Source organism: Homo sapiens, chromosome 2, assembly GCF_000001405.40.
Source record: "Homo sapiens chromosome 2, GRCh38.p14 Primary Assembly".
NCBI classification, from domain to species: Eukaryota; Metazoa; Chordata; class Mammalia; order Primates; family Hominidae; genus Homo; species Homo sapiens.
In genome coordinates, this window is record NC_000002.12 from 30,924,979 (window position 1) to 30,937,448 (window position 12,470).

The 12,470-nt window shown below is 49.5% G+C and overlaps 1 protein-coding gene across 13 annotated transcripts in view; it reads right to left on the minus strand.

The window, feature by feature from the left end:
• GALNT14 (polypeptide N-acetylgalactosaminyltransferase 14) overlaps positions 1-12,470 on the minus strand; it is a 251,659-nt gene that overhangs the window by 38,197 nt on the left and 200,992 nt on the right. For all 13 annotated transcript variants that reach the window (XR_007081588.1, XR_001738943.2, XR_001738941.2 and 10 more), the window contains 2 exons: positions 7,090-7,216; positions 4,417-4,509 (listed from right to left, as the gene is read on the minus strand). Coding sequence is in view for 8 of the 13 variants with exons in the window: in NM_001329097.2 (NP_001316026.1) it covers positions 4,417-4,509; positions 7,090-7,216 (220 nt within the window). In the remaining 5 variants the exon portion in view is untranslated. The remainder of the gene's footprint in view (positions 1-4,416; positions 4,510-7,089; positions 7,217-12,470) is intronic.

Here is a 12,470-nt window from a genome sequence, read left to right on the forward strand (position 1 = left end):
GAACAGATTTCTATAACTGCAGACAGAGCTATGGAAACACTTAGCAATATCTCACAATGGTGCGGTAATGACAGCGAGGACTGGTGCTTTTACTTGAAGATGGAATTTGGGGGTGTTTTTACTTTTCATTCAAAACAAAGCTGCAAGAACATTCAGTGTGTTGTTAATAATTTACCGCTGGGGCTCTGGGCCTGCTTATTCACAATTTCTCTTTGGATTCTGCAGCCGAAACACCACTCCCCGCTGCCCCAGTCTCAAAAAATCCTTTTATTTGGCTGTTTCTGGGGCCTGGTCATGTATTTGTTCATTAGATATTCATTGAGCACCTACTATGTGTCAGGCATTGTACCCAATGTGGGATACTATGGAAAGCTTTTGAACAATAGGCAAAGATAATGAAATAAGCCATCACAGCCCAGGTGACATAGGATGAGCAGGAGGGACCTATGGGAACAACTCAGAGGGGGACCCTTGCTTGTCGGGTCCATGGTGGTCAAGGTAGTAATGGTGATGCTGGTATCTGGAAGGAAAAGGGGACATTATCTAGACAAACCAGAGGTAGGGGCCCCTGCTAGAGGCAGTGGGGAGAGCAAGATGAGGACATGTGAAGACATGAAAGAAGCTCTGCGGGCAGGAAGAGTGCTGCAGGATCTTAAAATAGATGTGTATGTGAATGTATGGGTGGTGATTTGGAAGAGCAGAAATGGGTGAGTTGAAAGCAAAGACAGACCATAAAGGGTCCCGTGAGGCACTGCCAAGGAGTTTGGACTTGTTTAAAGGGCACTGGGATGAAACTGATGGGTTCTAAGCAGGGCAAGAGGTGGTTTGTACTTTGAGAGCATTTCAGTGCTGGTCCACAAATGGGTCTGATGGGCAAAGCTGGGGCCAGGGAGGGTAGTGAGGAGGCAGCTGTGGAAACTCAGGTGCTGATCATGCTTTCAAACAGGGAAGTGGGGGTGGGAATGAAGAACAACAGGCTGAGTGCCTCCACACCTCTCGGCACCCACCTAAGTTCATCCATGTCTTTTTCTTCCTGGGCAAACACATAGAGCTGGCCTTGCTTCCTGTCCAACTCACTTCCTTCCACTCCCCACCTCAAGATTGCACTATAACTTCTTCTTACAGAGCACCAACCACAGCTCATCACCAGACTCTAAGCTCCATCAGGATGGGAAGGATGTCAGGTTTCTAAAATGCTGAATATTGGGTGTTTAGCAAGGGCCTGTGTGCTCAGTGCATGATGGTGCAGTGTTACCAAGACTTGGTGATCATTTGGATGGGAAAGAGAAGGGGAGGGATTCAAGGATGGGAAAGAGAAGGAGAGGGATTCAAGGTTGACACCTAGATTTCTGACTTGGGCAACAGGTGCAACGAAAACTCTTCACGGGGATGGGAAATATCAGATGAGGAGTAAGTTTAGGAGCGAACGTCATGAGTTCAGTTTAGGATTTGTTGAGTTGGAGGTACCAGGGAGACATCCTGGTGGAGGTGTCTAGTTGATAATTGGATAGAAGGGATTGGAACTCAAAGGATAGGTTTAGCTTAGAAATAGAGATGCAAATATCAGCAGCATAGATATAGTGCTTAATGCCAGAGAGAATATGTAGTAAGAAGAGGCTTTTTAACGGACCCTCCGGCAAGACCATCATGCAAGGAGTAGGAAGAGGAAACAGCCTGCAAATGGGACCAAGCAAGCAGTGCCTAGCAGCAGAAGAAACGCCATGCCTGCAGAGTTCTGGAAGCCTAGGGACTGGGGGACACCAGAGGGGCCGGGGGTGGGAGAAGACTCATGCTGATGGGGCAGCGAAAGAGGACAGTCCAGGGTGCAAGGAAGTCACGAGGGAGCCAGGTGGGAGCAGTCTCAGGGCTTGGGGGCCAGGAGAAAGGAGGGGAGTGGAGAGAGGAAAGCAGACCACTGCTTCATGAAGCTGGGCACTGGAGGAATGGAAAAGACAGAGCATGGATTATGAGCAATGTTGGACTGAAGGAGGGTTTTTGTAGTTTGTTTTCTTTCCTCCCCTTCCTATTTTTTTTTCTTAAGATGTAAGACACTGAATAAGTTTAAATGATGATGGGAATAATGCAGCAGAGGAGAGACCGGGGATCAGGGAGAGAATGGAGGCACCCGGAGGGCAAAGCCCCCTAAGGAGTGTGGTTCCCAAACTTGTCCCCATGTTAGAATCACCTGGTGTGGGGTCTTTAGAAAAATTCTACAGCCCAGGCCACACCCCAGAGCAAGTAAACCAACTCTCTAGAGGAGGGGCACAGACTGCAGTCAGTTTGAAACTCCCCAGGGAACTCTGATATGCAGACTAGTTTGGGAATCTCCTTGGTAGAACCTTGCTCCTCAAATTGTGGCACTCAAGCAGGCAGCATTGCATCACCTGCAGCTTATTAGAAATACAGACCTCCAGAGTCAGAATTTTCATTTTAACAAGATCCCCAGGAAATCTGCGTGCACATTAATGTCTGAGAGGCCCTGCGCCAGGAGGCAAGAGGAGATGAATCCAGGCAGTGGGAACTCGATAAATGTTGATTTATGAATGAATGCAGCGATGAATGGTTCATCCAGAGTACAGGTGGAGGGATGGAGACCACAGCAGGAAGCACAGCCTGTCCTTTGAGACAAGAGACAGAGAAGGATGCTGCAGAAGCAGTGAAGTTAATGGGTTGGTTTGTTTTGGGAAGTTGATGTCATCTATTTCATCTGTAAAACAGAAGGTGTCATCTGCTGCCAGCGAAAGAGGGGGGTGGACTAGGGGCTGGGAAGAGTGGAGGTTTAATGAAGATCGAGGGAGAACGCTAGCTAGGAGAGGCAGCAGGGCCAGTGGGCAGACTGCAGGCCTTGCTGAGACTGACGACCACGGTGTATTATTAGTAGCACCAGCTGGCATTCCCAGTTCTGTTCAGCAGCCTGTGTGCACAGGAGGACAGGGTGCAAAGTCAGATTCATCCAAGGTTGAACCTGGATGAACTGTGGGGATGGTGTTGCTAGATGGAGAACAGCACAGAAGGTCTGAGGACAAGACCTTTTGAGCTCAGTTTTTAAAAGAGTAGAATCCAAGCTAGAGAGGGAAGGCAGTGAGGGGGATGTGGTTGATATGGCCAACAGATTGGAAGTTCTGATGAGGACTGAAAATGAATGCCTTGGAGGTTTGGAGTGAGAGAACCTGAGGGGCAGCATGGATTTATGGTTTCAGAGATGCAAATCATTTTGGTGGGTTCTGATTTAATCCTCCCACTCAGTGATGGGATCAACCTATGAATTTAGGCTGCAAAAAACCCATCTGCTCAACAGCCTTCGTATGATGAGTGGGTGATGTTAGTATGACAAAAAGCCATTGGTTGCCCCCAAAGAAACATAAATGATAGCATTAGTGAAGTTGCTATTTTTCTCTAATCAGCCCTGGGTTGGGGAATACAAGGTCATTCCAAGTTTTGAAATCAGACAGGTGTGGTTTGAGCCACCATCCCCCCTCTGCCATGGTGTCATCTAGGGCAAGAAGCTTAACCTGTAGAAGCCTCAGTCTCCTCATCTGTAAACCAGGAGTCATTACGCCCATTCCTCAGAGTTGGGAGGATTAATGAGATGCCTTATGTAATGGTATCTAGCTTTTATTTATTTATTTATTTTTAATTAATTAACTAATTTTTTTGAGATGGGGTCTCGCTCTGTCACCCAGGCTGGAGTGCAGTGGCGTGATCTCGGCTCACTGCAACCTCCGCCTCCCAGGTTCAAGCGATTCTCCTGCCTCAGCCTCCCGAATAGCTGGGACTACAGGTGCCCGCCACCATGCCCAGCTAATTTTTGTATTTTTAGTAGAGTTGGGGTTTCACCATATTGGCCAGGCGGGTCTCAGACTCCTGACCTTGTGATTCACCCACCTCGGCCTCCCAAAGTGCTGGGATTACAGGTGTGAGCCACCACGCCAAGCCTGGTATCTAGCTTTTAATAAACATTCCTTTCTCTGTCCTCTCCTCCCATGAAACTTGAGCACTGCTGTAGAGGACACATCTATACACATGCTGTTCCTCCAAGGAAGGAGAGAGCTTAGGCTTGGATGACCTAGAACTTGGAGGGAAGAAGTCCCACCTAGAAGGACTAAGGCTGTCTAGTCCTGCCTCCTTCCTGTCTGCAAAAAGCAGGAAATATTGGTCCACTGCACAAGGCACAGCTCAGCTCCCCTAGAGCTGGCAGTCCAGGTTGCCAGGCAGTCATTCCACAAGAGCTGCCTAAAGCCCTGCACATCCAGAGCTGGGCAGGAGCTCTGAGGAATAGGAAAGAAGCCACAGCCTTGGGCCCTGCGGGAGCTGAGGGTAGCTAAGCTGACTGGCCTATCGGCACCCATTTGCATCGGTCCTAGGAGCTGGGCTCTTTTGCAGTCTCTGCCCTCCTCAACCTGAAGGGACACTTACTTCCCGAAGGGCCTCTCCAGGGCGAATGGCCGGGCAGCGTAATAGTATTGCTTGTATTCATCCATCCACACTTCAGCTGTCCGCTTGGTGTTCCTGGGAAAACAAGGAGTGACAAGGGGTGTCAGTAAGGGGCTGTCTGAGAGGCCCTGTGAGTGCCAGTTAAAATACACATGTGTGGGCTGAGTTGGCAACACCACCTAGGTGGGGGCCACCATGGTCAACCGACTATCATTCCTGTTCCCAGGGCACTGAGCCCAGCCAAGCCCCACCCAATCTCCAAAGGGGTCTTTACCCCAAGACACAAGATTTTAGTACAGGTTGAGTATCCTTTACAAGAAATGCTTGGAATCAGAAGTGTTTTGGATTTGGGGTTTTTTAAATTTGGAATATTTGCATATACATAATGAGATATCTTGGGGATGGGACTCACATCTAATCTAAACATGAAATTCATTCATGTTTCACATACACCTTACACACATAGCCTGAAGGTAATGATATTTTTCCCTTGGGGATGCTGAATAAACTGTGGGTTGTCTACCTGCATTTTGACTGCAACCCGTCACATGAGGTCAGGTGTGGAATTTGCCACCTGTGGCATCATGTGGGTGCTCAGAAAGTTTCAGATTTTGGAGCATTTTGGATTTTAGATTTTTGGATTAGGGATGCTCACCTTTAGTAACAACAAACCTTTCCCCCAAAAGATACAGACCAGGAAAATCATGCCAGAAACTGAACTTCTGTGGCTATCAAAGAAATAGGGAGAAAAGGCTCAGGAACCCTACTGGCATCCCTTCACTGCCAGTAACCAAGAGTGCAAAGGCAGGGCCTGCATGGGCATCTAGCTTCTGGCTGTCCTCGGGCTCTTGCTCCTGGGTTCTATCCTTTACCACAGTGGAAGTACTCAGGTCCCAGCTCTCCAAGGGGAAAGTGGGCACACACAGGTCTTCCCATAGGCCATGCAGTTAGCCTGCTGCAGGTGTAAAGAACTAAGTAATCAGGCTTCTCTTTCCAGACTTTTTGCTAGCACTCTAGTTTTTAAAATCAGGTTATCTGCCCTGACTCTGACCCCACGAATCACAGAAAAGGAGACAGACAGAGAGACAGACACTAAGGATCCCTCAGCCATCAGGCGTACCAGAAAGAGCCCCAGAAAAGAGAGAAAAGATGTCAGAAAAGAGTCAGGTGGCTGGTGGCCTGGGCAGCAGTGGTATCTGCTGAGGCCAAGTAAGGGAACTTGGGGCCTAACTGAAAAGGGGGTGCTCTTTCAGATGCTAGCTCTGCTTTAGAGCAGAAGCATTCAAGAGAGGAGCGTGGCAAGCCCTTCTAAGCTAGGACCTGCAATGACAGTTTATGCACACACAGCCTGGTTGGTGGGGCACTGGAGGCAGTTAACAGTGCCTCCCTGGCCCCTTCCACTGACCTAGCCATTAGCACATTGGAAGCTGTTTAGCAGACATCTGTGCCACAATCTTCTAGAAACGGAATGACCTACCAGTGTCATGCAGGATGCCCACTGGCCAGGGCCCAGTCTCAAAGACAATGACTGTCTGGAGCCCCAGGCTCTGCCCCTCATTTCCAGGCCGGCCCCCCTCCAGGCGGCCACATGGCTCCTGCAGAGCCACCACTTCCCTGTGCCAGACATCCCCAGCTCACCTTTACTTTTTAAAACCTGAGAGCTGAGGCAGCCCTGCCTTTGCTCCCCACTGCTTCCTGGCCTGCTGATTTTCTTATCACCCTACCCTTGCCCTTCACGTTTTTGTAAAAGGTGTGGCCAATTTTCCCATTGCTCAAACCCATGTCTCCTCAGGACAGCTGTGTTGGGGTGGCTGTGTCAGGATGTGATGACACAGCTCCCCCTACCCCAATGGACCAAATGACAGAAAAAAAGGAAGAGGAGACCAAGTGGAGGAGAAGCTATCAGATGACAAGAGATAGAGGGTGGGGGAAAGAGAGAGAATCAAGAGGAAAAGATGGAAAGAGGAATATTCACGAATTATTCTGAAAGGAGAAGAGAAAGATCGAAAGAGGAGAAATGGAGGAAAAAAGAGTGGATGAAGGGAGGAAGCAGGGAACAGGCAAGTGGGCACCCTTGGGTCTCTGAGTCCCAGTAAGAACCACCCCCCAGACAGGAGGAGAGCACACCAGCAGACAGGAGCCCAGGGTCTCAGGCCCTGCCCCAGCCTGGACCCTTTGACTCTGCTGGCCAGGCCCTGGAGCAGGGACCTAAGCTGCATCCCTTGGGCCTCCCCATTCCCTGCATCTGCCCAAAGACCTCTCCCCTAGTGACCCAGCCCGAAGGTGGGGCAGTGGCTCTTCTAGAACTCCAAAGTAAAAAGGGCTGCCCTTCCCCCATCTCACAAAACCCCAAATATCTGGAGCCCATGCCCTGCAGGAGGGCATTGATGGGTGACTTGAAGCCCACGAGGCCTCATGTGGGGCCTTCCGAAGCCTCAGAAGCATTAGGGAAGCCTCAGGCCCTAACACTGGATGTGACAGGCCTGCCTTCCCTATCCAAGCAGAGTCTGGGTAGTACGAGGTGCAGCCCCGGCCAGTTCAAATCACACAGGCAGCCTAACAGAGCACCAGGGACGGCTGCAACCCTTACCAGCAGCCGCCCAGCCTTGGCTGCCTGTGCTGCTGCCCACCCGCGCTGAGCCCCTGGGCACTTACTTTATATACGTGTTGGCATTTCCATCAGGGAAAACGTAGGGGTGCTTCTTCCGGAAGACGTGCCCCACTCGGCTGCAGGGGACGATCTCTAGGCTGCCCCCGCACATCCACACTCGGAAGGAGATTTCTGCAAGACAGTCACGCCCCTCCTATGACCTCTTATCACTGCTGCTGCAGCTTTGAGGCCCCAGGTCTAATGAAACGGTGAGGCCCCCGCAGAGGCGAAAGAACAGACTCTGCAGCCAGTCTGTAGGCTCCACTGGCTGAGAGACCTCAGTTTCCCCATCCATAAATGGGAATAGTCCTACCACTTTGGAGGGTGGTATAAGTGAGCAGGGAAACAGTGCAAACCAACACGCTGGCCTCTGGAGCATATTCAGGGGCCAGCATGGCGGGGCAGGGGCTCTGCTGCAACTTCTTAGCCTGGAAAGGAGGAGCCTTGGGGGCACTAAGAGAGTTGCCTTCTAACTTGCGGAAGAATTCATTGTGGAAGTCTGGTTAGATGCACTCCCTGTGATCCCAGAGGGTTAGAGTCAGGACCAAGGAGAAAGAAATTTCAATCGAGAATACGGGAGAATTTTCTAACAATCAGGGACAAGGTGACCATTGTGAGAAGACTCAGGACAGGCTAGAAAACTTCACGGCAAGGATGCAACAAAGGGGACTGAGTCCCCAGAAGGCCTCAGGGCAAGGTGTCCACAAAAGTTCCTTCCACAGTGAATGCAATTCTACCACTGGGGAAGAGCCACCTGAATCATAACCCAGGAGGAGAAAGTCTGTGCAGTTAACTAGAGCTGAAAGCAGTTCTAGAAAATGCTGGAAGCCTCAAAGCTGTTGTTGCTGGTGTCCCCTAGGTTTGTACACACACCCATTTCTTCCTGGTTGGCTGCTGCTATGGGCCCTCAGAGAGGTGGGTGGGATGGAGTTAGCAGAGGCGGCTGTGGTGAGTGTATTTCTCCCCGGGACTGTACCCCAGCAGGCTTGAAGTAGTGCTTCTGCCCTGAGAAGGAAGTGGTGGCATACCAAGTGGGGAGGGAGGGAATTTTACCACTGCCATTGGTTAAAATTGCCAGTGCATGGTGACATTCAAAAGCAGAATGACTGTGAGTGTTATCATTGCTCTTAAATTTTCTACAGATAATGTACCCCCTAACTGACCACAGCGAGGGCAGGCTGCTTCCTGCATCCCACTGGGCCTGTCACTGGTAGAAAAGGCAGCTCCTCATGTGTAGGTATTCTGGTCTGGCTGATGCTTCTGAAGTCGAGCCCAAGCATGTGGCTGCCCATGTGAGGAGCCATGGGGAAGCAGGCTGGGTGTTCAGGGGAAGGGAACAAGGATACAGGTATTACAGGGCCTTCGTATCACATGTGTGTCCTGCACCCTGCTCTCATTCCCCTGTCCCCAGCCACCTTTACCTGTCACCTACCTGTCTCCTCCCACGTTTCCTTGGAAAGGCCCCTGGACTGAGGTAAGACTTCTTTCACACTAGCCCTACTCCACCACCTTCTCTGCACCTGCCCCTCTGCCTACTGCTGTTCACTCCCAGGAAGCCTGGATTCCCCTCAGGGTGGGGACCATGTAGACTCAAGGAGGAAGAGAGCACTTCTCATGACTGCTACTGAATCATGGCAATAACATGGGGGAAAGGAAACAGGAAGAATTTAGCTTCACAGTCAGCAGGCCCAAGTCCGCAGTAACCAGCTAGCTGTATCCTTGGGAAACCTGCTTAAGCTCGCGGAGGCCTGATTTGCTCTTATGTCAAACAAATGTCATAAAAACACTCCACTGGAATGCCGTCAGCATCAAATCAAATAGAATTTTGAGAACAACTGTGTAAACGCTAAGTGTGATTGAAAGATCAGCAGGAGTTATTATGAGACATCCCTCTAAAGCCAATCTCTTTAAAACATGGACATCACCCACCTGTGCCCCCTTTTAATTTCTTAGATGACTTACAGATGCTTCTTCCCATCTTCTGCCACACTGCAGGAGACACCTGAAATGTGTGCACTTCACATTTGAGATTTCGACTCTCCATAAAGTCCCACTGTACAGAGGGAGTTGGCATTTGGCTGGGGCACTGTTTGAATCGTTTTTCACATGAGTCATTGAGCAAGGAGTGAGCTCAGCCAACTGCCTGGCACCCACATCCCCATCTTGCAGTAGCACATAGAGGAACCTGGAGGTCGGTGCGTGGAGTTGTGTCAGCACGTGTGAATTTCAGTCTCATGTCTGTGCTCCAATCAACTCCTCTCCAGAGACTCAAAACAGGGCCTGCTCCAGTTCCCAAAATGGAAAACCCTCCAATTCCTCAACACTAGAGATGGAGTCCTTGCTCGCTAGATATAACTTACACATCTTGTGCCAGCTTTCTTCTAAAGATATGTACGGGTTTCATCTACAGTCTCTTCCTTTCCTTGTATTCAAATGAGACATATGTCCCTTTGCAAAGCGAATCCCTCCAACCTGGGCCTCTACCCCATGCCCCACCACCGTTCTCCACTAGCTGTTTCTTTTCCTATGATCCCTCCTCCCAGCTCTTTATTTCTCTCTGAATCTACTGACCCCTCCCTTCTGCCACAGCCATGCACAGGTCCCCAGCTAGGCCAGCACCATTGCCTGGCCCTGATCCTTCTCTACCTTCCTTCTGGTCTCCCCATGTTCTTCTCCTACATCCCCTCAACGCTCTGCCTCTGAGCATTTTCCTGACACTGCTGTCGCCTCTGCTCCCAGAGTTCACTCTATGCTGAGGACTCACCTCCATCCTACCAGCCCCAACTCTGCCCCAAGCTCTGGCACCAACTTTCCATGATTGGCTGAGGTATCTATTGAGATGGACGGGACATTATCACACCCAAGACATCTCCTATGCCCTCAGCATCTTCCTACAGCCTGCTGTAGCCCTGCCTCCTCTAAAGACATTCTTCCTCCTTCTAATTTTCTTATGTCTGTTGCCTTAGTACAAAAATTGAGTATTGCAATTCTGCAAGCATTAGCCATGGGAGGAAAATGACCCCTTCATTTACTTCTGGGCCAGGCAGGCAGTAGCTGATTAGTCCTAACAACCCTGCTCCATTGTTATTAATGTTCTTATTTTGCGATGCAGAAGCAACTCTGATAGGACAACTGAGAGCGAGAAGCTGGTGGCATTCAAAAGCAGGGAAGCACATCTCTCCAACTCCGAAATTCATGCTCTTCCCCTGACACCACCCTGCCTCCATACTGAACATCTTCCACCAGCCAGTAGAGCTGTGGATGCAAAGAAACCAACTTCAAGGCACTCACAAACTAACAAGAGTGACAAATACATAGTTAGCTGTCACATTCCTACCCTATCAACTCACTCATCCAGTCCTGAAGGATGTCCATCTCAGGTCTCCTTCAGGCTGGCTGCTGCCGCCCAGAGGAACCTGCAGCCGAGATGAGTTAAGAGTGTCTCTACTCTGGAGTTCAGATTGTTATGCCTGGAATTATTGGAGGCACGTGTCTTGACATGGATCGCTGTGCTGCTGCCAGAGTCAAGAGGCAGTCTGAGGGATGCGGCTTGGAGTTTTCAGATCAGTGTGATGATTTATAGGGATGACAGTGTGGGTTATTTAAAATGTGGGATATACAGGTGCTCTACCCTTATCTACATCACCAGCTTCAAGGAAATGATGTGTATCCTCTCAGGATTGCAGGCCAGGCCTGGTGGTTCGTAGATATCTGCTGAGACCTTTGGGACAGTCACAGGACCTGAGGTCCTGTGAAGGGGGCTTGGACAAGTGCTATCAGAAGTGCTGTAGATTCACGTGTGAGGTGGTGGACCTTCCAGGTACAGATTAGGGCCTCTGATCTTCGAGGCTGCAGCACCTGCACAGTCATCATTTCTGAAGTGAGGGAGGAGGGAACAAAAAAGAATTGTGTAGAGAGTTTGCTGGGGGTTCTTGCTGAGTCAGCGCCCACATAATCTCCCTGGTGATGAATGCCACTTCACGGAGACCCAAATCCACTTTGAATTCCAGGCATGCAGATGTGTAATTATTCCATCCTCATCGGGGCACTGTTATAATCTTACTTTCTTTAAACGTCAGGTAAATATTTGAGAGCGAATTGCCCTCCCGCCCTCCATTCCCCCCACTTTCCTTCTGTCTCTCCATCAGCTGATCAGTAGTGCTTACCACCCCTCCCAGGGTCCTAGCCCTTCACCAGAACCAACTTCTACCTGGCAAGCCCATGGATGGTGGGCAGGAATTCAGGGGAGAAGGAGCAGCTTTCTCTCCAGGAAGCAAACCACGACTATTCATATGCCACTGCTTGGCCATACTGGTCAAGGTTCTAATTTCATTTTATAGCCTGGTTTCTAAACAAAGGCAAAGAGAATTATTACACGTGGGTACTACATTTTAAATGGAGCCTCGTATAATGTATATGTGTGTGTATTGTGTATACAATAGCATTGTCCATTCTACTTTTGGCCAAGTTTAAACCTCTGTCTGAGAAACAGACACTCACCTGGCTACTGTCATTCATAAGTCCACACATATTTATGTACAATGGGGAACCTTGCCTTTCAGTAATTTTTAAGTTCCCAACATCTACTGGGCTAGAAAGCAAGTTCTGTTATTACTCTTTAATGAATGAAGGGACTTGGGTAGAGATAATCTTATTGGCCCAGAAAACATCGCCTTGAATCTGTGAGCAAAACTGCATTTCACCCACAGCTGGGACAATCAAGTCTCCATCCACACCTCTTACTCTAGACAAGTATTGACCACAGGCATGCCATGATCTGCAATGCCCATACGACTGCAAATGCCAGGTGACACCTTTATCTTTCCATATTCTCTATGCAAACAGAGCAACTAGTGTCTGATGGGACTCAATTACACGTAGGGAAGTTGAGAAGCAGCAGGAAAGGACGGCCTCAGGGGGTCTCCCTTGGGCATGGGGCTTTAGCCAGTAGCTCAGACAAGGAACAAAGTGCTGGCTGCATTAGCTTTACTCTCCATCTGGGGGAAAAGCTGACTTGCTATCACACTTGTATGCTCTTCTCAGATGAGGTCATGTCCCTAATCTTGAGCCACCAATCATGGAAAGGGTGAGGCTGAAAGAGAAAGTCAAGCAATAAACTACTCCAGCAGGTCACACATAATCCTCGTTTAACAATCCCTGCTCTCTGAAAGAGAAGGCAGCTCACCCTGGTGGAGAACAGGCACTTTCATTATCTAATTAATCTTTGCAACAGCCCTGTGATGTGGGGCCTACTACCATTTTCCACTGTTGCAATAACAAATCCCCACAAACTTAGTGGGTGGGTTTGGCGGAGCCCTCTGCTTAGGGTCTCAGACTGAAATCAAGGTGTCAACAGGATGGCTTCTTTCTGAAGGCTCTGAAGATG